The sequence below is a fragment of the Homo sapiens genome, chromosome 11 (assembly GCF_000001405.40).
Source record: "Homo sapiens chromosome 11, GRCh38.p14 Primary Assembly".
NCBI classification, from domain to species: Eukaryota; Metazoa; Chordata; class Mammalia; order Primates; family Hominidae; genus Homo; species Homo sapiens.
The window spans coordinates 124,023,013-124,049,896 of NC_000011.10; the positions used below are offsets into that span (position 1 = coordinate 124,023,013).

The window sequence follows — 26,884 nt, forward strand, 5'->3', positions numbered from 1 at the left end:
ATGTCCAAGACCAGCCTCGTGACAGCGTTCATCCTCACGGGCCTTCCCCATGCCCCAGGGCTGGACGCCCCACTCTTTGGAATCTTCCTGGTGGTTTACGTGCTCACTGTGCTGGGGAACCTCCTCATCCTGCTGGTGATCAGGGTGGATTCTCACCTCCACACCCCCATGTACTACTTCCTCACCAACCTGTCCTTCATTGACATGTGGTTCTCCACTGTCACGGTGCCCAAAATGCTGATGACCTTGGTGTCCCCAAGCGGCAGGGCTATCTCCTTCCACAGCTGCGTGGCTCAGCTCTATTTTTTCCACTTCCTGGGGAGCACCGAGTGTTTCCTCTACACAGTCATGTCCTATGATCGCTACTTGGCCATCAGTTACCCGCTCAGGTACACCAGCATGATGAGTGGGAGCAGATGTGCCCTCCTGGCCACCAGCACTTGGCTCAGTGGCTCTCTGCACTCTGCTGTCCAGACCATATTGACTTTCCATTTGCCCTACTGTGGACCCAACCAGATCCAGCACTATTTGTGTGATGCACCGCCCATCCTGAAACTGGCCTGTGCAGACACCTCAGCCAACGAGATGGTCATCTTTGTGGACATTGGGCTAGTGGCCTCGGGCTGCTTTCTCCTGATAGTGCTGTCTTATGTGTCCATCGTCTGTTCCATCCTGCGGATCCACACCTCAGAGGGGAGGCACAGAGCCTTTCAGACCTGTGCCTCCCACTGCATCGTGGTCCTTTGCTTTTTTGTTCCCTGTGTTTTCATTTACCTGAGACCAGGCTCCAGGGACGTCGTGGATGGAGTTGTGGCCATTTTCTACACTGTGCTGACACCCCTTCTCAACCCTGTTGTGTACACCCTGAGAAACAAGGAGGTGAAGAAAGCTGTGTTGAAACTGAGAGACAAAGTAGCACATTCTCAGGGAGAATAAATACTAGGAAGTAGATACACTAGTTTGTTTAAAAATAGTAATATAATTTAGTTATTCATGTGAAATTGATTATATGTATAGTTCTCAGTGTTAAACATTATTCCAAAACACCTGCACAGTTATAATTCTTCCACAGATTGTCTAAGACAGTTTTAACCTCACAGCTAGACTTATGTGTATGAGGAACATGCTTATATTCTGATTTATTGATTCATTTCTCATCAATAGGTTCATATTAATTTAAAAAAATATTTTCATCGAATCTCCGGGATAGATGGTTGAGTCCTTCATGTTTACAACTTGATAAAAAGTTTTGTGTTTTGTTTGATTTTTTTTGCACACAAACTTAACAATTTACCATTATGGAGACATCGTTCAAAAATAGCAACAAATATTTGAGGTCATTTTTCTAATTGTGGCTGTAGCTGTTCAAATTTCTTTTTGGTTTTAATGTATCTGTATATTTGTATGTGTCTATACAAATCCAAACGTGTATACAAAAGAAAGTCTGTAGCATTTAGCATATTTAACATATAGGTTTTCATCATGTATGTATATGTATCTGTCTATTTACATACATGTATTGGAAAACATTTCTAGAAACACTATTTTTAATGGGCAAAAATAGCAAGCTATTAATATTTAAATATTATCAATGAATCAAATAGAAATTGTGTATTCACAGAATAGATTACTATCCAGCAATGATAATGTACGATTTACAGCTACATATATAATAGTTTATGCACTTATCACATGCGCCTATTTTATTATGTTTGTTAAGATTCAATATAAAACATTAAATCTCTTAAATATCTAGATCACTTGGGGCTGTTTTGTCCCCTGGTTCATTTGGCAATGTCTGGAAATATTCTTGCTTCTCACAGGCACTGGCATCTATTGGCTATAGGTCAGGGGTGTTAAGCATTCCACAATGCACAGGAGAGACCCTCACAACAAAGCTTATCATGGCCAAAATGTCGATAGTGCTGAGGATGAGAACCTGGAGCTGCATTTAATTTTAAGTAACATGTGTAAGACCATGACAATAGAAATAAAATATTTTCAGATAAATATAAAATTTGCTAAAAGAATGTAGGTTTACAACTTGCACACACGGAGACTCATATTTTAAAAAGGCCAATTTTATTCAACTAGATCTATACATTCAATACTATTCCAAGTAAAATCCCAGCATTTGATTTTGCAGCTATGGACATGTGGATCCTAAAGTTTGGATTGAATAAGTCCCAAAATGGTCAATATTATCTTGAAGAAATAAAACTTAACTGAAAGATTGACAACACTAGTTATCAGAACTTATTACACAGCTATAGTAACTCAGGAGTGTCTTATTTATATGGGGCTAGACAAATAGAAAATTGTAACTGAATACAGCGTAAAGGAATAGACTGATACACACTCATATGACAAAGATGACACTGCCGAGCAATAAAGCAAGATTACCTTCTTTAATAAATTATGTTAAGGTATCTGAGTATTCAGAATAAAAAAATTAGTCTTGACCCTATGTCATACTAGACACATAAAAACTCAATTATAGTAGATAGGAGATATCAATGTGGAGGACTGTATGACACTTATTTATGTAAGAGATTTTATAGGCGTGCAAAACCCTCTTGGAAAAAATTAATTAAAAACATATTTTTAAAGAAAATAAACAAATAGAGGAAGCTAACCATAAAAATAATACATGAGACTAAAGTTATTACATTTTGAAATAGAAAATTTGCCACTCATTTTCTTTGATGATAATGTAATAAAACTAGAGGTTAATACACAAAGTATAAAAGAGAATACAAAAATAATTGGGAACTTAAACCAAATTCCTTAAAGAAAAACCATTTCAGTTAATGAGGTAATTACAACTACAATCCCAAATTATATAGAAAATAAAAACATCCTTATGTCACGCATAAAATAAAATTAATTTCAGATGAAGTAAATATTTAAATGAAGGAAAAGGCCTTAAAACATTAAATATTACATAAGTGAATACTGATAAACTTGTATGTGAGAAAAAAAATTTTTTTGACAGGATCTGGCTCTGTTGTCCAGGCTGGAGTGCTGTGGTGTCACCTCAACTCACTGCAACCTTGGCCTCCCAAGGCTCAAGCGATCCTCCCACCTCAGCCTCCTGAGTAGCTGGGACTACATGCACCCACCATCATACTTGGCTAATTTGTGTAGTTTTTGTAGAGACAGGGTTTCACTGTGTTGCCCAAGCTGGTCTCCAACTCCTGGGCTTAAGCGATCCACCTGCCTTGGCTCCCAAAGTACTGGGATTACAGGCATGAGCCACTGCGCCTGATCAAGAAAATCCCTTTAAAGCAAAATGCCAATATCAGAAAACATATTGGAATCAGTTTATAAAATTTCCTAGAACAGCAAAAATATCTATGCAAGTTTAAAAAGTATTTAAGTGGTGATAAATTTCAAAGTACGTTTTACCTTACAATAAAAAACAAATTAATGTTTTCAATTTGTAAAACTTCAGATAAGTCAGTAAGATAAAGACTATTACCTCAAAAAAAAGCAATGAATAAAGATTCTAAAAAGTCAATTTACAAAAGGAGACGTATGCATGAAATATCAAAATTGTTTATTCATGTTGTAAAAGCAATGAAAATTATGACAGCAATAATATCTAATGATTACTGATACAATTGGGATATAATTATGTTAGGTAGGTAGATCTCTGGGGAAAAGCCACCCTGAAACTCTAAACAACAGAAAAAGCTGGGGAATTTGGATGATTAAAACCACCATAGACAGTGAACGAGTGAGTGATGCTGAGCTGGAGAGCACCAAAAAGTGAGGACCATTATGGATTATGGAAAATTTTAAGTTGAGAGCAAGCAGTTGTGAGTGTCTCTCAGCCACTGGTGAGAGAAAAGGGTAAGTCAGTTATTCTTTCCTCTAAGGTACAAATACTGATTCCAGGAAGGCATGGGCTCATCTCAGGAGGCTAAATAAAAAACTCTAAGGAAATGTGTGCATGCTTATGAAGATCCTTTCATTGGTCTCTTCCTGTTGGTTTTGTATGCATCAAGGGAACCTAAAAGCTGAAAAGGAATCCCATCCTCTGAGACACAAATCAACTTAAGTTCCTACCCATATTCATTTCCATTCCCTGCACTTCAACTGGTTTGGTCCTTAAGTAGAAAAGGACCACTCTTTCTTAACACTGTATCTGTTCTTTGAGTGGTATCTTGCAAACTTAGCACCTGTACACAGCATGTGGAAAGTGACAAATTGGGGCAAAAACTCAGATGAGTTTTACTATTGAAATGAATCACCTACTGTAAGATGAGTTCTTAGAAATGTAGATTTAACTTATTTTCTCCTGCTTTCCTTCTTTCCTTTATGTCAAACTTCCATTCAGATATAAGATATTCGATAATTGTTAAGACTTTGTTATAAAATCAGTTAGATACATAGATAGATAGATAGTAATTGATGGGATACTAATAGAGACAAAGTTGCTATGTATACTTCTGTATGTTAATATGCAAGTCAAACATTGACCCTGCGGATTGAGACTCTTGCTTTAGGTCTCAGGCTACCTTGGACTTCACTGGATGAGGATTTTCACATTTCATCAAATCTGATCATGAAGCTATTCTGGGAATTGTTCCTCCTGGTGCAGTAGAAATTTCAGAGTATCTTGGTTCTATTTTAAAAGTTCTGATATCCATGTTGGTGATTGCAGTAATCTCCTTTCTGCTATTTATTTACATATTTCAAAAACCTTTCTTTAAACTAGCTTAAGCCACATTCCCTGGAGGTATCTTCTCTGGGATTTCTGAAGGGCAGAGATCATGGCTTCTCTCACACTGGTGAACAAGTTTCATAGTATTTGCCCACTGAACAATTAGTAAGACTCCTGAACTAAGACAATATTTTGTATTAATATTAATATTAAGCAAAGAACCTTATTTTGGCCCTGATTTCCATTATACAGAATCCCAGCTTCTCTTGACATCAAGGTGGCATAGATCCCTCTTCTTACATTGGTCCCGTTTTTCCTGTCTCAGATTCTAGGTCTTAATTAAGAGAGAGACTTGATGGAATTGTCTTCTTTGTGAGATCATTCATTACCTGGATTTATGAGAATGAGGAGTAAAGGAAGATGGTGGAGGCAACACATGATATCTAACAAAGCCAATATTAGAATATATTTAGAAACCTAGGGTAGAAGGAGTATGAAAGACAGCTGGCCTCTACCCAGTGGATTGTGTTTGGGAGAGCACATATGAATGCCATGTTCTCAGAACCACATAGGAAGTGTTCTAGGGTAGCAGAAATGGGGGCAGGGGACAGTTATGCATGAACCTTGATGCTCTCTGGATCATTTGGGAGGTCGTGGGAATCCCATTATGGAGTTGCGCTGAGATTCTTACCTGCTCTGAGAGACCAAGGACAAGCCCTTTGAAAGCAGGCAGTAGTGAGGACATCAGTAACAGTATCAGGCACAAAATAGTCCAAGAAGACCTAGCTCTTAGATTCAGAAGGACTCTCTGAAAACACTGAAAGAATATATGTACTCTCTTTCTTCCTAAGACCAAAACTGGAAATTCTGTAATACTGCTGCAAGGCATAATGTGATAAGACTCACTGTCATTTATTGAGCAGTTACTACCTGCCAGGCACAGTACTTAGTACTTTATATGTATCATCTTATTTAATGCTTATAACTTCTCAGTGAGGTAGGTGATGTTAGTAATGTCAAATAACATATGAGGAAACTAGAAAATGATTTAGCTGAACTGTTCAGTTTTCAAATATTCCCAGCCACTAACAATTAAATTCTTGGTGTTTTTTTTTAAGTTTTCCCATGAGCAAGGAAGCAAAAATGAATGTGGTAGGTAGAATTTGCAGTAGCCTTCAAGATTCCTGCTGTCTAGTATATGCTTTCCATTTAATAACCTTCCTTTGAGTATGCCTGGGACCTGTTAATATGATGGAATATCACCCCCGTGACTGCATTACATAACATTATGTAATACTTTGCCATAGCAAACTGGAGAGAGTCTGTCTCGTTGGTTTTGAAGAAGTAACCTGTGGTGTTTTAAGAAGGCCAAGTAGCTAGGACTTTCTTGGACCTAGGGTGACCTCAGTAAGTTGAGAGTTACGTGTCCTGCCAACAAACAGCAAGGAAACTGGAACCTGAGTCCTAAAACTGCAAGGAACCGAATCGTGCCAACAACCACAAGAAGCTTGGAGAATGATCCCCAACCTCAGATGAGATTGCAGGCCTTGGTGATATGTTGATTAAAACCTGATGAGAGCTAAACAGAGGGCCCAGCTGACCTGACCCACAGAGAGGGCGAGACAATAAATTTGCATGTTTTAAGCCAGTTAAGTTTGTGGTAATTTATACACCTATTAAAATCTAAGACAATGCGTTTCTCCTAATTTCTTCCGCATATGTCTCTGTGTGTGTGTATGTGAGACAGAGAAAGACTAGGAAATCACTTCATTAGTTTATGAAGGAAGCTTTGTTAACAAGCAAAGTCCACAATAACTCCAGAATTATCTACCTGCTTGATGCAGTTTCCACACAGAGAATGGATTCTCATTTCTCAATTAAGTGCTAAATGCTGGGTGCTCTTTATATTCCCAGAGGGAGAGAGACCAAGGGTGAGAAGAAATGTCCAACGCCAGCCTACTGACAGCGTTCATCCTCATGGGCCTTCCCCATGCCCCAGCGCTGGACGCCCCCCTCTTTGGAGTCTTCCTGGTGGTTTACGTGCTCACTGTGCTGGGGAACCTCCTCATCCTGCTGGTGATCAGGGTGGATTCTCACCTCCACACCACCATGTACTACTTCCTCACCAACCTGTCGTTCATTGACATGTGGTTCTCCACTGTCACGGTGCCCAAATTGCTGATGACTTTGGTGTTCCCAAGTGGCAGGGCTATCTCCTTCCACAGCTGCATGGCTCAGCTCTATTTCTTTCACTTCCTAGGGGGCACCGAGTGTTTCCTCTACAGGGTCATGTCCTGTGATCGCTACCTGGCCATCAGTTACCCGCTCAGGTACACCAGCATGATGACTGGGCGCTCGTGTACTCTTCTGGCCACCAGCACTTGGCTCAGTGGCTCTCTGCACTCTGCTGTCCAGGCCATATTGACTTTCCATTTGCCCTACTGTGGACCCAACTGGATCCAGCACTATTTGTGTGATGCACCGCCCATCCTGAAACTGGCCTGTGCAGACACCTCAGCCATAGAGACTGTCATTTTTGTGACTGTTGGAATAGTGGCCTCGGGCTGCTTTGTCCTGATAGTGCTGTCCTATGTGTCCATCGTCTGTTCCATCCTGCGGATCCGCACCTCAGAGGGGAAGCACAGAGCCTTTCAGACCTGTGCCTCCCACTGTATCGTGGTCCTTTGCTTCTTTGGCCCTGGTCTTTTCATTTACCTGAGGCCAGGCTCCAGGAAAGCTGTGGATGGAGTTGTGGCCGTTTTCTACACTGTGCTGACGCCCCTTCTCAACCCTGTTGTGTACACCCTGAGGAACAAGGAGGTGAAGAAAGCTCTGTTGAAGCTGAAAGACAAAGTAGCACATTCTCAGAGCAAATAGACACTAGGGAAGATTACATATCTTAGCTCTTGTGAATAGTGCTGTGAAAAACATACAGGGGCAGGTATCTTTTGGATGTAATGAATTCTTTTCCTTTGGGTAGATACCCAGTAGTGGAACTGCTAGATTAAATGTTAATTCTATTTTTAGTTCTTTGAGAAATCTCCACACTGTTTTCCATAGAGGTTGTACTAGTTTACATTCCCACCAACAGTGTATAAGTGTTCCCTTTTCTCTACAGCCTTGCTAACATCTGTTATTTTTTTATCTTTTTAATAATGGTGATTCTGACTGATTTTGTGGCTTTAATTTGCATTTCTGTGATGATTATTGATGTTGAGCATTTTTTCATGTGCCTGTTAATCACTTATATGTTTTCTTTTGAAAAATGTCTATTCATTTCCTTTACCAACCTTTTAATGAGATTATTTGCTTTTCATTGTTAAGTAATTTGAGTTCTTTGTAAATTCTGGATATGAGTCCCTATTGGATGCATAGTTTGCAAATATTTTCTCCCATTCTGTTATTTCTGTTGATTATTTCTTTTGCTGTGCAGAAGCTTTTTAGTATAAGTGTTATTTGTCGATTTTAATTTTTGTTGCCTGTGCTTTTGAGGTCTTAGTCATGAATTTTTTCCTAGACCATGTCCAGAAGAGTTTTCCTGAGGTTTTCTTCTAGCATTTTTATAGTTTCAGTAGGCTGTGCTTTTTTTTCTTACCTTTTAACATGTCTTATAATTTTTTGTTGAAAGCTAGACATCTTGTTTCAGGTAATAGGAACTGAGACAAATAGGCAGTTAGAAGGGAGATTTATGGTAATCTAGTCTGGCTAGAAGCTGAACTGTGTGTCATGTTTGTAGGGACCAAAGGCTTCAAATTCCTCTAGTGTCTTGTTTTGCCTTGCCCATTTATTTTAAGTATCCTTAAATACTAGTCCTCAAAGAGAGTCTGTGACTAGTAACTCTTTCAGCTCTTCAACTCTTTTATTTACTGTTATTTACTGGAGCCCTGTTGGTGTGGTTGTAAGAGTTGAGGGAGTATTGTCCTGTAAAATTCTGATTCAACACTTGTGTTTTTAGTGGGCCTGTCTTTAGAACTGTGACCTTCACAAGTGTTTTCATAAATACCTCCCATCTCAATTCCCTGTTTCTCCCATTCTCTTCTCCAGCTACATTCAACATTCCCAATCTAATTCCTCTAAAACTGACGCGTTTAATATGTTTTCCCCTTTAAGTAAGACAGGAGGGCTATAGGTGTCAAACTTAAAGGGGAGAAATGCACTTCCCCCATTTGGGATAATAATCTGACAAAGCCTTTGCCCAGGGAACAGATATCTGATGTAGAGGAAGCTCTGGGTATGTTTCACAATGGTTACCTATCCCCTAACTCTACCAGAGCCAAGAGGGGATTTTTTATTTATTTATTTTATTTTTAGCTTTTCATGATAGGAAACCGGAGGGGGTTCATGAAGGTAAAGTCCATAAACATGTAGGACCCCACCTAAAATAAATTGATCCTTTTAGCTTTTTATGAGTAGACATTTAAAAAATGTCCTTTATATCTCTGATAATACTTCTTACTTGAAAGTTCACTTTATTTGCTAATAATATAGTCATATTAGTTTTTTTCCTAGTATTTTCTTGGCATAAATTTTCTACCCTTTAACTTTCCGTGTGTGTGTGTGTGTGTGTGTGTGTGTGTGTGTGTTTGTATTTAGTGTAGTTGTTTTTAAACCAGATATAATTAGATGTTGCTTCTTTTATAAGCTGCCTGTTTTACTTATTTATTTATCTTTTTTTGTAGTGCATTACTGTATCTGTAATAGTCTAATATTTTGTTGTTTTCTATTCTTACCTTAAATTCCTTTCTCTTTATTCATGTTTCTCAATCTTTTTTGTATTTTTCAAAATATTTAATGTATTAATCAAGTATTTTCATTACTTTATTTCATTTTTCATTACTTTTAACTATTTTTACTTTTTATTATATTTTTATGATAAAGTCAATATCATTTCAATGCATTACAAGCTATTTGCATTAGTACCTTACCATATTTGAATAATCCAAGAGTCTTACATTTAGTTCCATGTAATGGCTTTATACCTTTTTTTAGAAATATTTTTGACCTTTATTTAATTTCTAACTAATTAATTTCTAACTATGTTATAAACCAGACAACATGTTACTGTTGGGGCTTTAAACAGTCAAAGGTCTTCTTGTATGTTTATGTACGTATTCACCCTTTCCTGTGGTATTTATGGACTTATCTATTTTGCACTTCTATCCTTCTATCTAGGATTATTTTATTCAATTTTAGAATATCCTTTAGTAATTTGTATAGTGTGTGACTACATTTTATACAGTTTTGAAGGGAGGTTAGGTCTGCACCAATTACTTCGTCATTGCTCTTTAGAAATAAGTTTCTCTTTTTTGTTTTTAATTTGTAGTTTGACTTTTTGCCTGCTCTCTCTCTCTCTCTCTCTCTCTTTCTCTCTCTCTCTATATATATATTATGCTTTAAGTTCTAGGGTACATGTGCACAACGTGCACGTTTGTTACATATGTATACATGTGCCATGTTGGTGTGCTGCACCCATTAACTCATCATTTACATTAGGTATATCTCCTAATGCTATCCCTCCCATGTCCTTTGTAGGGACATGGATGAAGCTGGAAACCATTATTCCCAGCAAACTATCGCAAGGACAAAAAACCTAACACTGCATGTTCTCACTCATAGGTGGGAATTGAACAATGAGAACACTTGGACACAGGAAGGGGAACATCACACATCAGGGCCTGTTTTGGGGTGGGGGGGTTACTTTTTTCCTGCTTTTAAAAACTTTATTGGGAAAGAATTTGTTTTTAAAATGCAAAACTTTATTGAGGTATAGTTTGTATCCATTTTAGGTGCACAGTCTGATATGTTTTAACAAATGGAAGTACCTGTGTATCTACCACAAAAATCATGGTAAAAACTTTTCCAGTACCACGTATAATCTGCCGTGTCCCTTCTCATCAGTCCTACACTACCCTAAGCCCCAGATAACTACTGATCTGCCTTCTCTCACTATGGATTAGATTTGTCCTTTTTAGAGTTTCCTATGAATGGGATCATATAGTATATACTATCTTGTGTCTGACTTGTTATGTTTATCCTAATGTTTTTTATATTTATTTGTGCATTTGTGTGTATCAGTAATGCATTTGTCATTGAAAGGTAGTCTATTATATAAATATGCCATAATCTATTACCTATTGCTTTCAGTTTGGGGATATTATTAATAAAGCTGCTACATAGATTCATTTGCAAATATTTGTTAGGCATATGATTTAAACTCTCGGGTAAACATTAAAAAATAGATTTGTCAAGTTGAATGATAAGTTCAATGACAAATATGTATTTAATATTTTAAAAAATTGGGTTTTCTCCAAACTGGCTGTACCGTTTTATATATCTACCAGAAATGCATAAAAGTTCTTATTGATCCACATTCTCAATAATATTGACTTTAGGTTTCTAAATTTTGGCCATTTGACTATGTGTGTGTAGTCTTATTATGTCTGAATTTATATTTCACTAACGGTTAATAATGTTGAGCAATTTTTCATCTTCCTGGTGCCCATTCAAATATCCTTCTTTGAGAAGCGTGTGTTCAGATCTTCTGCCCATTTCTCATTGGGTTGTTTTTAATTATTAAATTGTGGTATATCTTTACAATTTTTTATTCAGTTCTTTATTAGATATATGCATTACAAATATTTACATCTAGTGTGTTTTTTGCCTACTCATTTACTTATTAATATCATTGGAAGAGCACAAATTTCTAATTTTGATAAAGCCCAACTTTTGACTTATTTCTATGGTTCATGTTTTCTGTCCTCCTTAAGAAATCTATATCTACCTCAAGTTTATGAAAGTTTCTCTCCTACTTTTTTGTCCTAGAAATATAATAGTATTAGCTTTTACATCTAGGTCAATAATCTCATTTAAGTTAATTTTTGTATATAAAGTGAAGTAATATTCAAAGTTTCGTTCTTACTTAGGGATAGACAGACTTTTAGGCATAATTTGTTGAAAGTATCACACTTTTTTCTTCAAAATGCCTTGGCACTTTGGCTAAAAGTCAACAGACTGCTATGCGTAGGTCTCTTTCTGGACTCCATATTCTGTTCCACTCATCCACATATTATCTCCATCTTTAAACACACAGGTTTTATGCTTCTGTGCCTACTATGTGCACCATGTGCCTTCAATGTGCACCTTTATTTCCCAAATCCTCAAGCGGCCCTTTTATTATTTAAGTTAATCCTTTTGACACTTGATTTTCTTTTAATTTCCTTCTAGTATCCCCTCAATGCTATTAAGATCTAACCTATTAAAGGAGTTTAATAGCATCAGGGAACTGAAAGAGCAACAGTGGTGGCCCTTTCATCCTTTGCTATCTTTCATGACCATGCCATCAAGAAGGAGCTGCTTTTATAAATACTGTCTCTGGACTTCTTTGAATTTACAACCTTCTAGAAAGGTCTTTGAGTGTCATTGTGAGAAATAATACTGTAAGGAAGGTCCAATAACAGATTTGTATAAAACTCCTTAAGGTTTCCTTTCTTGGACTTCCTCGAGAAATGTAGGAGAGGTGGTGGTTACTTTTTCCTGATCTGACCTCTCTTCATGCTACTATTGAATAAGAGACATTTCCTTCTCCATGTTAGGAAACAGATGTTTAACAGCCAGCACAAAACAAGGAATATAGTGACCAGTACTCTTGCTTACTTAACTGTGTAGGCTTCTGCATCTCCCAAGCTACACCTTCAACCAAATAATTTTACCCGAAACTTCCACAGGCACTCGACCCAAACATTCCCAAAGTCAGACACTTTCATTCTACCCTAAGAACATATCCCTGTTACTTTCTCTATTTTGATAAGTTATATCACAATGGCCAAATCATATGAACTTCTCCATCAGCTTTGCCGCCTCACACAGTGGGCTCCTATTTGCTGTCCCTTTCCCCACTCCCAATTCCCTCTGCTGTTGTCTCAACTTGGACTTTGGTGTTTTTCTTTCTTGATATACAATCAAAAAAGCTCTTTAGTTGCTGCCCTAAAATTCACCTTCCTTCCGTCTGTCTTCCATGTTACCACAGGTTATGTCTCTAAATAAAAATGCTATCATATTACAGTATTTCAATAACTCTCCAGAACTTGCAAGATAAAAATCCTTCTTCCTAGTATTGTATACAAATTTTGTCATGATTTGTTTGATTTTTATGACTCATCAACTTAGGAACACTATACATCTTGTATATTGGGACTACAAACTTCTTAACAGGAGGTCTATGCCTGTTTATTTTGTTTTGTACTAATTGTACATAGGACACGATAGCCACTCAGTGTATATTTATTTATTGAATGGATAAATAGGTAGATTGAGCCAGGTTAAAATTAACATACACTGGTGTTAAAACTGTATAGTATTTAACAAATACACACACATACACGTGAGTAAAACTAGAAAAATCTGAATAAGATTTGTGGATTATAATAATGTCAATATCCCAGTTGTGATATTGCACTACAATTTTGCTAACTGTTACCATTGGGGGAAACTGGGCAAGGTATAACAAGAACTATCACTGTGTTATTTCTTACAACTTCATGCGATTCTAAAATTATTTCAACAACATTTTCAATTAAATAAAGACTGACATTCTTCTTATATATGTTTATCAATAATTTACTTTCAAAATGGTTGTGTGTGATACATATTGCCATAGTATTTTGAATCCTTTAGCATCTTTCCAAGTCAAAACTAATAATGAATCTCTCCTTGGGCATCCATTGCACTTACAACAATGTAACCTGGACAATGCAACATATTTTTCCCCCTTGCCAGACAATGACTTTGGTGAATGCAGAGACCTTGTCTATTGTTTTTGCGTATCTACTGTTTAGCATGTGACTTAACACCCAATAAATATCCCATAACATTTTAGGTAATGGTAAGTTAGATATAACAGCGTGATGTTACAGAGAAGTGTAAGAATCCAAGTGAATCCAATGACTAAGTAATTTTGGTTTATGTCTACCTCAGTTTTTTCCTTTGAGAAATGAGCTGAATTATATAATTGGTCCATAGCAATCTGGTTTCTTGGTGTGAAAACCAAAAATTTACCTCTTATACTGATCATGGTTTATGTAGTTCATGCTTCATGTACTGTGTCATGGTTTATGTAGCTCATGCTTACCAAGTTAGTATGTTTTTCTTCTCAATATCACCGCACAGTTTACTTGGAGCAAGATATGGAAAGTTGGCACAAAGGAGCATTCTTGCTAAAGCATCTTTGAAATGCAGCTGCTGCAAATCTGAGGAGTTTGAGAAATGCTTTTCAGTTCTAGCAGCTGCCTTCTAGTTTTCTTTTACTCTTCATGCTATGCTAGGCAGAGTTGGCATGACCAGGATACCTGTGGTATTTAAATTAAACATTTATTTTGAGAAAAATTTATTTACACTTTAAATATATGTATTTATTTGGATGACAGATTATAAGGTTCATGGTCTGAGCCTTACCTACCCAGAGAGTGTACAGAGTCCATTTCATATACTTTAAGTCAAACAAACGAATGTGACTTGCAGACATAGTCTAATTACATGGGAAATATTATCTAGTACTTTATTCTAAATTAAGGGATACTCTTAACAGTTTTTGACTGCATATTTTTGTCTCTAAGATTATTTGATCATTTTTGTATATTTATTATTTATCCTCTGGTACTTATAAAAATAATTTTAAAATTGCTGAAAATGGAAACTTGCCATTGAGGATAAGAGATTGGCAGCTCCACAAATATGGAAGGAAAGTCTAGATAGTTGTCATCAGAGACCAATACAATGTGTACAGTGTATACAGTGCATAAATGGACAAATATTTACTCTCAGAAATCTTTCAGGCCAAAGTAAGAAAAAAATATTAAAGAGTTATATGGTTTTTATTGGCCCATGAATGTGAATAAAGCCATTCTTCTTGAGAACCAAGCCTTTTTGTCTAGTATTTTCTAAAGTAAAAATTTTATCTTATGGATATTAAATTATGTAGTTATTTATGAATGCTATAATGAATTTTTCAATATAGAAAGTTTAAAACATGAAAAGATTTTTATAAGGCTTTGACTTAAATGACACAAAATAAACTGTAAGAACATTATACTGAATAACAATTCTGGAAAATATTTATATAAGAAAATAAATTACTTTTCTGATTACTTAATGGAACGTGAAAAGAATAGACTATTATCCTTTCTCTTAGATTATCACCGTGAAATGGCTGCTTTAACTAGGATTCTAACAAACACTCTGCAGAAAAAAATGAAAAATTAATTAACTGTCCAATTAAAAATTAAGACTGAATAATTGAAATGCTCCATTCAAGTATAATGCTTATGTTGAAGGTTTAATTTAATTACAAATAAAAAAAGAAAAGTTAGCCATATATGGCCTTTCTTAACTATTCACCCTGAGCAAATACTGACCCATTTTTCAGCTTCAACAGAGCTTTCTTTACCTCCTTGTTTCTCAGGGTGTACACAACAGGGTTGAAAAGAGGAGTCAGCGTGGTGTAGAAAACGGCCACAACCCCATGCAAGGCGTCCCTGGAGCCTGGCCTCAGGTAAATGAAAAGACCAGGGCCAAAGAAGCAAAGGACCACGATACAGTGGGAGGCACAGGTCTGAAAGGCTCTGTGCCTCCCCTCTGAGGTGCGGATCCGCAGGATGGAACAGACGATGGACACATAGGACAGCACTATCAGGACAAAGCAGCCCGAGGCCACTAGCCCAATATTCACAAAGATGACCATCTCGTTGGCTGAGGTGTCTGCACAGGCCAGTTTCAGGATGGGCGGTGCGTCACAGAAGTAGTGCTGGATCTGGTTGGGTCCACAGTAGGGCAAATGGAAAGTCAATATGGTCTGGACAGCAGAGTGCAGAGAGCCACTGAGCCAAGTGCCGGTGGCCAGGAGGGCACACGAGCGCCCAGTCATCATGTTGGTGTACCTGAGCGGGTAACTGATGGCCAGGTAGCGATCATAGGACATGACTGTGTAGAGGAAACACTCGGTGCTCCCCAGGAAGTGGAAAAAATAGAGCTGAGCCACGCAGCTGTGGAAGGAGATAGTCCTGCCGCTTGGGGACACCAAGGTCATCAGCATTTTGGGCACCGTGACAGTGGAGAACCACATGTCAATGAAGGACAGGTTGGTGAGGAAGTAGTACATGGGGGTGTGGAGGTGAGAATCCACCCTGATCACCAGCAGGATGAGGAGGTTCCCCAGCACAGTGAGCACGTAAACCACCAGGAAGATTCCAAAGAGGGGGGCGTCCAGCCCTGGGGCATGGGGAAGGCCCGTGAGGATGAACGCTGTCAGTAGGGTGGCGTTGGACATTTCTTCTCATATATGGGGCTCTGTTCTTACAGAAAGGAAGGGAGATAGCATTTACTGTGAGCATGTTTTATATGAAATATGGCAACTATATTTTTCTGATTAAGAACAATAGGGTTAAATTATTTTTTATATTTTATAACTTCCTTTTGCTTCAGTATAGGTCTTTGAAGAGGAATAGCACTTTCTTATTCCAGTACCAGAATAAGCCATATACAAAAGAGGAGGAAATTAACATAAAATCAGCCAAATTTTGAAAAGAAGAACAAATTTTGTATCCTATTTTCTGTAGAATTGGAAAAGATATACTCAAATTAACAACACTTAGGTGCTGGCAAGCTCTTTCCGGGGATAAGCCTTTATTCAAGCATCTCTCTCTGTTTTTCTCTCAAACACACACATATATAGATACGCATGCACACACACATTCTCTCTGTGTCAACACACACACACACACTTTCACACATACAGGTTCAGTCTCTTTGATCATTAGAGAATTTCCATTACAAATACAAATTTCTAAAGCAAGCTTCATTCTGGATGGCTGGGAGAAAACTGCCTTCTCAGAGCTCTCTGGCCAGCTGCAGAACTAAGGCAGGATTCCAGCAGTGGTTTAGCATTATGTGGAGCCGGTCTTCTGTTCCTTTGTCTTACCCTAGATCAGGGGTCCTCAAACTCCAGGTCAGGGACTGGTACCGGTCCATGGCCTGTTAGGAACCAGTCCGCACAGCAGGAAGAGAGCTGCCAGCAAGCGAGCATCACCACCTGAGCCCCGCTTCCTGTCACGTCAGCAGGGGCATTAGATTCTCGTAGGAGTGGGAACCCTATTGTGAACCGCACATGCGAGGAATCTAGGTTGTGTGGTCCTTATGAGAATCTAACTAAGATCCTCCCCCTCCCCACCCCAGGTCCCACCCTGGTCCATGTAAAAATTGTCTTCCATTAAACCAGAAACTGGTCCCTCGTGCCACAAACACTGGGGACCCCTGCCCTAGATCATACCTTCCTGGTCATATACAAAGTTTGACCCCAAGCTAATGCAATAATGAACAGTACCATCATTTTCTTTAGCTTCCCTTATTCTGTGTCTCTTTCTATTTATACATTTTGTATTATTTACTTCTCCAGAATTTTAGGCAATTAAGCCTTCTCTTTCTAAAGTATGATCAAATAATCTCACAACACATTTTGAGATAGCCAAGAAGAATGGAACCTGCTTGAGTAGTAAGAAAGACTAAACTTTCTCTGATGTTTGAGTTTCAGAATGGAATTAAAATAATAATATAGTTATTACAAAAATACAAATGCCCTTCTAAAAATAAAAAAAGTCTTTTATTTCCATTATTTCTAGGATTTCTATTATTTCAAAGCTCAGACTCAAAGTTTTTCTTTTTTTCTTTAACGTGGACACAATGTCCCAGACATTATATTTTCAAGAGAAAATAAATTAAAATTTATGAAGAAATATAAGGAAACGTGGTTGAAGACCTGGACCTCTCTGATAGAAAAGAAGCATTTCATTATTAATTTCTAAAATGCTTCTGTCATAAATCAGCAATACATTTTTTGTGGGGGGGGCTCTGACAGAAGCAGACTTTTCCATCATGGAATTCAGCTGCAACTGAGTTGGAAACTCAGAGTTGCAATGCTAAGGTTTATAGAAAAAGCACTTCATTGATTTATGATTTCACAAAATTTTTAGTCTTCTACAGAACCACAAAAAGTTGGCTCTGTAAGTCATGACTAAGATAATCTAGCTTCATTAGCCAAAGCTGACGAAAAATGAAGAGAAACAAAAGTATGACCATAAATACATCATAATCACCTCCCCTCAAAAAGTGTCTAATAACGAAAAATGCTGAAGTGTTGCCAATTTTTGCTACTTACCAATTTTACAACTAGGTTTTGGATCATGAAGCAAAATTCAATATTGAAAGAAAATGTCAGTTCTTGATAAGTGGTATAATTTTTCTTTTCTTGCAAAGATGAAACCACAGAAGAAACTCTTTTTAAATAGAACTTAATATGAATTTGATGTCTTAGGAGACACTCCGTTAGCTCTACAGTCCTTATGAGTGAAGATAATGTGTTGACATCATGATAAACACTTGGAATTTTTTCCAAATGCATCTGCTAAAGTTGATTCTGCATTGGATGGCCATCATTCCATAAACCTTTTTATTTAGCCAAAAATCAACTTCCAAAATGAATAACTATGACACTCTGGATCTGAAAACTCCTTGTGCAGGGAATGATTTTTTTCCTATTTCTTTTTTAAATTTAATAATAGTAAATATGGGTTTTAGTTATAAAGGAGCTAATTATCTGAAGAGGTGCATAGTCTCTCTGATAAATCTTTAACTTTGTGGTGAGTCACAAAAAGAAGCTCCGGATTTTCTGTGCTCCAGGGATGATCAGAGTACTACTCCCTGTAGATAAACATCTTCCTAATTAAACTTCCTCCCTCTGGGGCTTGGCAGACTCTCACTGTGCAAGTTCCTGGCTGAGAATGGATGCTAGTTCAGAGATTTTCTGTTCTTCTCAGAGACTTTGCCTTTGTTCTTTCATATCTTCTAAACTTTAAAATGTATTTAAATTTTCTGTGAAACTTTCTTTTATTTTTTAGCTTGAATTAATACAATTAAAGAGAATGAAGGTATGCTTTTCTTCCATAATTAATATATTTCTTAGCTATTAGGAAAAAGCTTTCATGAAAACAACAAGAAAAACTGGTCTAATGTAGATGCCCAAAGCACTGTTAGTTTTGGAGGACAATTGCAGTTTCATGAGCCTTTTGTGCTAATAGAAATGCTCTCATCTGCATATGGAAAATATAGTCCTATATGGAATGGAATTTGAAGAACTGAAGTCCCCTGAATTAATATTTTTTTCCAATTAAATTACCAAATTACCCATTTTTCTGACATTGGTTATCCATTTAGTATAAGGCATATTTAATCAATGTAAAATCACAATATTATTTTAGTAATTACTTTCAATTTAGCTCCAATTATATTTTGAAATCTCTTTATCAAATATATGCTATCAATTTTTGTTAATTGAAACTTCTATCCAACTTTCTGTACTTATCTTTGTGAATACTATTAACTTGTGCTTTCAGTGTAACTTATCAATTTTCTTGGTATACAGTATACAGTTACATTATCTTTATAAAATGATACTTTTGTCTTTCTTTCCAAAAGTAAACATTTGTTATCTTTCTTTTCTGTCTTGCTGTATTGGTAGAAGACACTATTGTCACCCACCTAGCAATGGTTTAGGAATTACTTAGGTCTGTTGTGAGTGCTACACAACTTGTCTGTGCCTTTTTCCAGGAAGAGGAGTTCAATAGTAACATTTGCTGAGTTTTAATTTCTTTAAGAAAAAGAAAGGAATTATCCATCATTTTTGGCTGTTTCACTAAAACCCAGTGGGATTTTATGTGATAAACACGCCAGAACTTCTAAACATCATCAAGAATTCTGCATTGATAGTTCTTTGCACATGGAAAAAGGCACAGCTGAATCCACCCACACAGTCTGGTGACTTGTTGATACTCTAACAAAGACTAGAGAAGCGTAGAAGTCCAGGCATTCCTGTTTACCAACCGTATTCATCACTGGGCCTCCTCTGCCACTGAGCCATTTCTCTGTTTTTTTCACAATTACTTTTGCTATTCAAAGTCCTTTGCGGCCGGGTGCGGTGGCTCACGCCTGTAATCCCAGCACTTTGGGAGGCTGAGGCAGGCGGATCAGGAGGTCACGAGATCGAGACCATCCTGGTTAACACGGCGAAACCCCGTCTCTACTAAAAATACAAAAAATTAGCCAGGCATGGTAGTGGGCGCCTGTAGTCCCAGCTGCTTGGGAGGCTGAGGCAGGAGAATGGCGTGAACCCGGGAGATGGAGCTTGCAGTGAGCCGAGATCACGCCACTGCACTCCAGCCTGGGTAAGAACGAGACTCTGTCTCAAAAATAAAATAAAATAAAATAAAAAAGTCCTTTGCGTTTCCATATAAATTTTACACAAAAAATTGTTTATTTACACACACAAAAGCCTGCTGTGATTTTGATTGGAATTGCATTCAATCTATCAATAAATTTGGGACAATTGCTATCTTAGTAATACTGGATTATGTTTGATCACAAATACTGTTGATCTCTTTTGTTTCTCTCAACAATGTTGTGTCGTTTCAGTGCTCATATCCAGTATATTTTGTCAGGTTTATCACTAGGAATATTTTATTTTGATGCTATTTTAAATAGTACTTCTAAAATTTCAACTTCCAATTGTTCGTTGTTAATACATAGAGTTGATTGATTATTGCATATAAATCTTATATCTTACAACTCAGCTAAACTCACTTATCAGTTCCTATAGTCTTTTTAGATATTCCATCAGATTTTCTACATAGATGACCATGTCGTGTGCAAACACAGACAGTTTACTTCTCCTTTACAATCTAGATTCCTTTTAGTTCTTTTTCTTAGCTAAATGTCCTGTCTAGAAACTGTAGCTCAATGTTGAATAGAAGTGGTGGCAGTAGACATGCTAGGTTCTTGATCTTAGGGGAAAATATCTAGTTTTTTTTACTACTAAGCATGACGTCAGCTGTGGGGTTTTTTTTGTTGTGTTTGTTTTGTTTTTCTGTTTGACAAATGAGATTGGTTCCTTCTATCCCCTAGTTAGCTGAGATTTTTTTTTACCAGAAATGGCTTTTGCAATTTGTCGAGTGCATTTTCTGCATCTATTGAGACAGTCATATAGTTTTTCTTTTTCAGTTTGTTAATACGGCAAATTATGTTGCTTGAGTACTGAATATTAAACTATACTTACATTCCTGGAATCAACCTGGTTGATTATGATGCAAATCATTTTTTTCATATATATTAAATTCAATTTGGAAAATTTTATTAGGAATTTTAATATACTTGTTTATAAAGAATATAAATTGATAGCTCTTTTCCTATAATGTCTTTGTCTTGTTTTTGTATCAAGATAATACTGAAATCATCGAATGAGTTGGGACGTTTCTTGCCTATTCAATTTTCTGATAGAGTGTGTGTAAATTTTGTATTATTTATATATTTTAACTCAGAACTCTGTTCCTGAAAATCAGCAAAACTGTTGTGCTCTGCTTCAGACCCCTATCCATGCACCATGGCTCAGAATGTGCCTCCAAACAGAGTGCTCACCTCATTTGCTTTTCCTTTCTTGGGGATCACAGTCTTGTGCTACTTGTTGTTCAATGTCTGAAAATACCTGTTTTAATATATATTTTGGGGTCCAGTGTTCTATGTCTATATTGTGAGAGGAGAAATCTAATCCTTGTTATTGTATCACGGGCCAGAATTGAACATCTCCAAATTAACTATTTTTATTTTCATCATTTGCGTTGTGTTGTGAAATATAAAGTAAATAGATAAAACTTCGTACAGACACAGGCCAGATGTATTCTAAAGCAAACATTCATGTCTCCACCACCCAAATTAAAAAAGTAAGTATTGCCAGCAACCTTTGAGCCTTCACATCTCTTCCTGAAGTCAATCTCCTTCCATTCCGCTATCATGAGAATCTCAATTTCGTACTAATTTTGAGGGTATCTTTAAACAATACAGTTAAATTTTGCCTTTTAAAAACTTATGTAAGTGGAATCATAGTTATATTTAATATAGAGTTTCTATACGGTTGGGCAAAAGTAATTACGGTTTTTGCTATTGCATTTAATGGCAAAAATCGCAATCACATTTGCTCTAATGTAATATTTAAAATTATGTTTTGAAGACATGTACATATTGATATGTACAGCAATAAATTTATTCATTTAATTCATATGCATTGTTCCATTGTAAAATACACACTTGGTAGATACTTGGGTTTTCAAATTTTGGTTATAACAAAAATCCCGCCTTAAATACTCTTATACATTACCCTGGGCACATAAGCCTGAGTTTCTACATGGAAATGTTGATATTGTGAGGAAGATATCTTCCAGCTTATTTGAAAGTAATAAACCTTTTTTAAAAAGTAATTCTATAAATTTATATTCCCTTTAGAAATGTGTGAAAGTTCTTGCAATTGACAATTTTGACATTTACTTTAGGCATAATTTTAATGCAATTTTAATTTGCATTTCCCTAACTCTTAAAGTGATAGAGTAGATTTTCTTTTGTTTATTGGCCAATTGTATTTCTTCTTTTATGAAGCCTGGCCAAGTAATTTACCTACATTTATTTATATTGGATTGCTTGATTTTAATATAAATTTTAGAAATTCTTTATATATTTTGAATACCAGTCCTTGATAGTAATATTTGTTATAAGTAACATCTTTTTCACTTTTTATTTTTATTTTTTACTATTTTAATATTATTCTCAATATTAAAGTAACCAAAACGAATGATGTTTCTTTTATTTCTCTTAGTTTCTATACCTGCATCAGAAAGTTTTTCCCCAATTCAATTTGTAAAAGCCGTATTATTTGTTATAAAAATTTGAGTTTATAATGGCCCTGGAATTGATTTTGTGTATAGTATGTGGTAAGAGATTAATCTGATTTGTTCCATGTTGATTCAGTTGTCCAAGCATAATTTATTGGAAAAATACATTTACCATAATCTTCCATGCCAGCTTTGACTTAAATCAAATATGCAAGGGGTGTGTTTTTATGCTGTCTATTCTATTCCATTTTTAAATTAATCTGGTCCTAAACCAACCTCACTTTTTTTAGTTGCTATAAAGAAAAATAATAAATACAAATTTGTAAATATGTTTAGCTTTAAGAATAACCAAAAATGAAGATTAAAGATAGTTGGTTGAAAACTGCTTATGGTAAAAGCTTTAAAACTTTTAAGTAATTAAATAATAACACTGGTAAAGTTGGCTCTTGCAAGCACTGGTGCTAACAAAGTAAACAATTTAATAATAATCTTCAAAACCATAATATTCATTAATTTTATAGGATTTCTACTTAGGTTTACTTATCTTTAGTAAAGTCTCAAATATGGATAACTACATGGGTTAATAAGATTATCATAGTGCATTATACATGCACTTATGTCTACCTATTTTTCTAACAGTACTTTTTTATTTGGGAAAATATTAAAAAACTGTTAAAAAATTAAATATCCATAAAAATGAATATGTTTGAGTAAAGTGGCCATAGGGAATGTAAGTTAACATTATGGAAAACAGTGTGGGGATTTCTCTAAAAACTAAAAATAGAACTTTCATGCAGCCCAACAATTTCACTATTGGGTATTTATACAAAGGAAAGCAAGTCAGTATATCAAAGGTGCAGTACACATGCACCTCCATGGTATATATACACAATGGAATACTATTCAGCCACTAAAAAGAGTGAAATACTGTCATTTGCAGCAACATGGATGAACCTGGAGGATGCTATGTTATGTGAAATAAGTCAGGCACAGATATATGAATACTGCATGTTCTCACTCATATGTGGGAGCTAAATTTTTTTTTTGAGCTCATGAAAGTAAAGAGTAGAACTGTGGGTATTAGAGGCTGGAAAGAATAGATGGGGAAAATGGAAAGAGGTTGGTCAACGAATACACAATTACAGCTGAATAGGAGGAATTAGTTCTGGTGTTCTGGAGCACTGTAAGGTGAACATAGTTACCTATAATTTATTGTATATTTTGAAAAAGCCAGAAGAAAGATTTTTGGATGGTCACAACACAGAGACATGGTAAGTGTGTGGGGGATAGATACACTAAGTACTCTGAATTGATCATTGCACATTGTATACATGTATTGAAGTACCACTCTGTATCTCATAAATATGTACAATTTTTATGTGTCAACTAATAAAAGGAAAACAAAAAAGATGGTTGTAATAATTGAGTAATATGGAAAATATTTTGATAAAATTGTAAACCAAAAATAAACTAAACAAAAAGATGCAAAGCTACATATATAGCATAATTGGAACTAGTTAAAAATATTCCTTATCAGTATAAAAACATTGATAATATTAAAACAGAGAAAGTGTGTGGGTTTTTTTGCCCCTTTGAATATTTACCAAGTAGTTTATAAACTTGTGATGCCACTTTCATAGTGAATATGTCATGTCTTATGAAATAAAGAGGTAGGGAATAGAAAGGGCATGAGAAAAGAGAGGAAAGCCTCTAATTATTCCCTTTGCCCTTTCATGCTTTTAAAGCCTGGGGATTAGGCCACTGGGAATATTGCCTGTAAGGAAACCAGGTCCATTTATACTTTCAAGTTTGAAAACTTATAAATTCAGAATTTCAGGTCCATTCTAATAGCAGGACTGAGTGTGGCATCTATGTGTCTTGTAATCCAGAGGAGAGGGTGCAATATCTTGGCTGTATGCCATGGCATCTTATGTAAAACAGAGTTTTGGCTTTAGGAACACATTCTTCTTGCCTGGAAACTTGAGAAAAATCTTGCTACCCGTATTCAAAGTGCTTCCCATCAGTTGGTATGTGCCTAAAACTTTGCCGCTTCTGTTTAAATACTTTTTAAGTTTTTAATTTTTGTGGGTACTTAGTAGGTGTACATATTTATGAGGTGAAGGAGATGTTTTGATACAAGCATTCAATAAGTCATAATCAGATCAGGGTAAATGGGGTATCCATCACCTCAAGCATTTATCATTTGTGTTACAAACAACCGAATTATACTCTTTTAGTTATTTTTAAATGTACATCTCTTGTTCTACACATATTTCTCTCTTTCCTCTTCTCTTCTTCTTTCCTAGTTTTTCACAGTGTTAAATTTTTAAAATTCTTCCATTTATTTCAATAGTTTTGGGGGGTATATGTGGTCTTTGGTTACATGGATGAGTTCTTTAGCAGTGAATTCTGAGAGTTTAGTGCACCTGTCACCTGAGCAGTGTACACTACACTCAATGTATTGTCTTTTATCTCTCTTCCCACGCCCAACTTCCTCCACCCTGAGTCCCTTACTGTCCATTGTATCAGTCTGTGTGTTTTTGCATCCTCATAGCTTAGCTCCCACTTGTAAGTGAGAATATGTGGTATTTGGCTTTCCATTCCCGAGTGTCACTTAGAATACTGGTCTCCAGCTCCATCCAAGTTGCTGTAAAAGACATTATTTTATTCCTTTTTATGCCTGAGTAGTATTGCATGGTGTATACATGCCACATTTTCTTTATCCACTAGTCAGTCGATGGACACTTAGGCTGGTTCCATATTGCGAATTGTGCTGCTATAAACGTGCATATGCATGTGTCTTTTTCATATAACGACTGCTTTTTCTTTGGGTAGATACCCGATAGTGGGATTCCTGAATCGAATGGTAGATCTACTTTTAGTTCCTTAAGGAATCTCCACACTGTTTTCCATAGTGGTTATCCTATTTAGATTTCCTATGTGTCTTGGTCATTTCACCTGCTCAACCAATTGAAGGAGGAGAATCGTGGACATTAAGAAAATTCTTGTAGGTTGCTAAGTTCAATGATCTATTAGTACAGTGGCAGTGAGAGAGAAATGGAAGGGAGAAGTCTTAGGGATAAGTGTATATGTGTGTCAGGAGAAAGGCTTATGGGGGAAGGTGGATGATATTGAAGATGAGAGTCTTTGTTCAGGAACCTTATTTTGAAGTTAGTATAAAAATTAGAAATTACCCCCACTCTCAGTATCTATTCTTATCAATATAAAAACTTCTTTTAACAAGCATATATATGTTTATTCTGTTATTAAAGACTAAGGGATAAAATTGCAAATATCTGTGAGTATGATGATAGTGAAATTCAAAATTTATAAGAAGCTAATAATACAAAAATTTAAAATTTAGAGTTGGAAGAAAATATCTAGTTTGCCTTCCTTTGCAGGAGAATAATTTTTTTTCTGTTTCCCTATACGCTCAAGTTGGAGGTCTTCAGTAATCAAAAATCAGTACTTTCTCAATGACTCTATTTATGGTTAGTGGATGTCTATCTGATCTTATATTTTTTTGGCCTTGACTGATGTCAGATACTTTTGTAAAAATGGGGTTGGATGGAGATAACAGCACTGAGTACTGACTGCAGAGAACTGAGAAGGATTTTGAAAGTGTATCTAAGGTACTTTGCGATATTTGCACTTTTGCCCAGGACAAGTTTGGACCAGACACCCGTGCCATTTGGAAGTGTGAATTAGGTTACTGAGCTAGAAACAGAATGGGTCAGATTAAAGAGAGAGTTTGTGCACTTCCAACCTGAAAAATGATCTTTTAATTCTACCAGTATATTTACCTAATACACTGTTTTGAGTCTGAAGAAAATAACATTTTTTTCTGATCTGTGTGTCTTTCTATGTCTTTTAAAATCTTGCAGATTTTACAAAGTTCATTTCTTTTAAAAAATTCTTCTTTCTTTTTTTTATTTTTTAAGAGGTGGGGTCTTGCAATGTTGCCCAGGCTCTGGAGCACAGTGGCTATTCACAGGCATAATCATAGTGCACTATAGCCTTGAACTCCTGCCCTCGAGCGATCCTCCCACCTCAGCCTCCTGAGTACTTTTTTTTTTTTTTTTAGACAGAGTCTCGCTTTGTCACCTAGGCTGGAGTGCAGTGGCGCGATCTCAGCTCACTGCAAGCTCCGCCTCCCGGGTTCACGCTATTCTCCTGCCTCAGCCTCCTGAGTAGCTGGGACTACAGGCGCCCGCCACCAAGCTTGGCTAATTTTTTGTACTTTTAGTAGAAATGGGGTTTCACCGTGTTAGCCAGGATGGTCTCGATCTCCTGACCTCGTGATCCACACGCCTCGGCCTCCCAAAGTGCTGGGATTACAGGTGTGAGCCACCACGCCCGGCTCTGAGTACATTTTTAATTATATCTTCATCACATGTGCAATGCTTTTGTTATTACTACATTATGACTCTTAACTTAGTCATGTATATACTCAAGCCTT

The 26,884-nt window shown here is 36.4% G+C and overlaps 3 protein-coding genes across 3 annotated transcripts, besides 1 other annotated feature; 2 read left to right on the forward strand and 1 right to left on the reverse strand.

The window, feature by feature from the left end:
* On the forward strand, positions 1 to 936 carry OR10G9 (olfactory receptor family 10 subfamily G member 9). Its single transcript, NM_001001953.1, has one exon. The coding sequence runs from the start codon at positions 1 to 3 to the stop codon at positions 934 to 936; it is 936 nt and encodes a 311-aa protein (NP_001001953.1).
* Positions 937 to 3,785: 2,849 nt separating this feature from the next.
* On the forward strand, positions 3,786 to 7,622 carry OR10G8 (olfactory receptor family 10 subfamily G member 8). Its single transcript, NM_001004464.2, has 2 exons — positions 3,786 to 3,855; positions 6,584 to 7,622. The coding sequence occupies exon 2, from the start codon at positions 6,611 to 6,613 to the stop codon at positions 7,544 to 7,546; it is 936 nt and encodes a 311-aa protein (NP_001004464.1). The 5' UTR covers positions 3,786 to 3,855; positions 6,584 to 6,610; the 3' UTR covers positions 7,547 to 7,622.
* Positions 12,410 to 12,704: a silencer, noted in NCBI's record as "tiled region #15688; K562 Repressive non-DNase unmatched - State 22:ReprW". NCBI's record gives its function as "represses a minimal TATA promoter and a strong SV40 promoter by Sharpr-MPRA in K562 cells {active_cell/tissue: K562}" and the evidence as "EXISTENCE:reporter gene assay evidence [ECO:0000049][PMID:27701403]".
* Positions 13,001 to 18,313, reverse strand: OR10G7 (olfactory receptor family 10 subfamily G member 7). The gene is made up of 2 exons (NM_001004463.2): positions 17,874 to 18,313; positions 13,001 to 16,009 (listed from the first exon to the last, which is right to left on the reverse strand). The coding sequence occupies exon 2, from the start codon at positions 15,987 to 15,989 to the stop codon at positions 15,054 to 15,056; it is 936 nt and encodes a 311-aa protein (NP_001004463.1). The 5' UTR covers positions 15,990 to 16,009; positions 17,874 to 18,313; the 3' UTR covers positions 13,001 to 15,053.
* Positions 18,314 to 26,884: the final 8,571 nt, after the last annotated feature.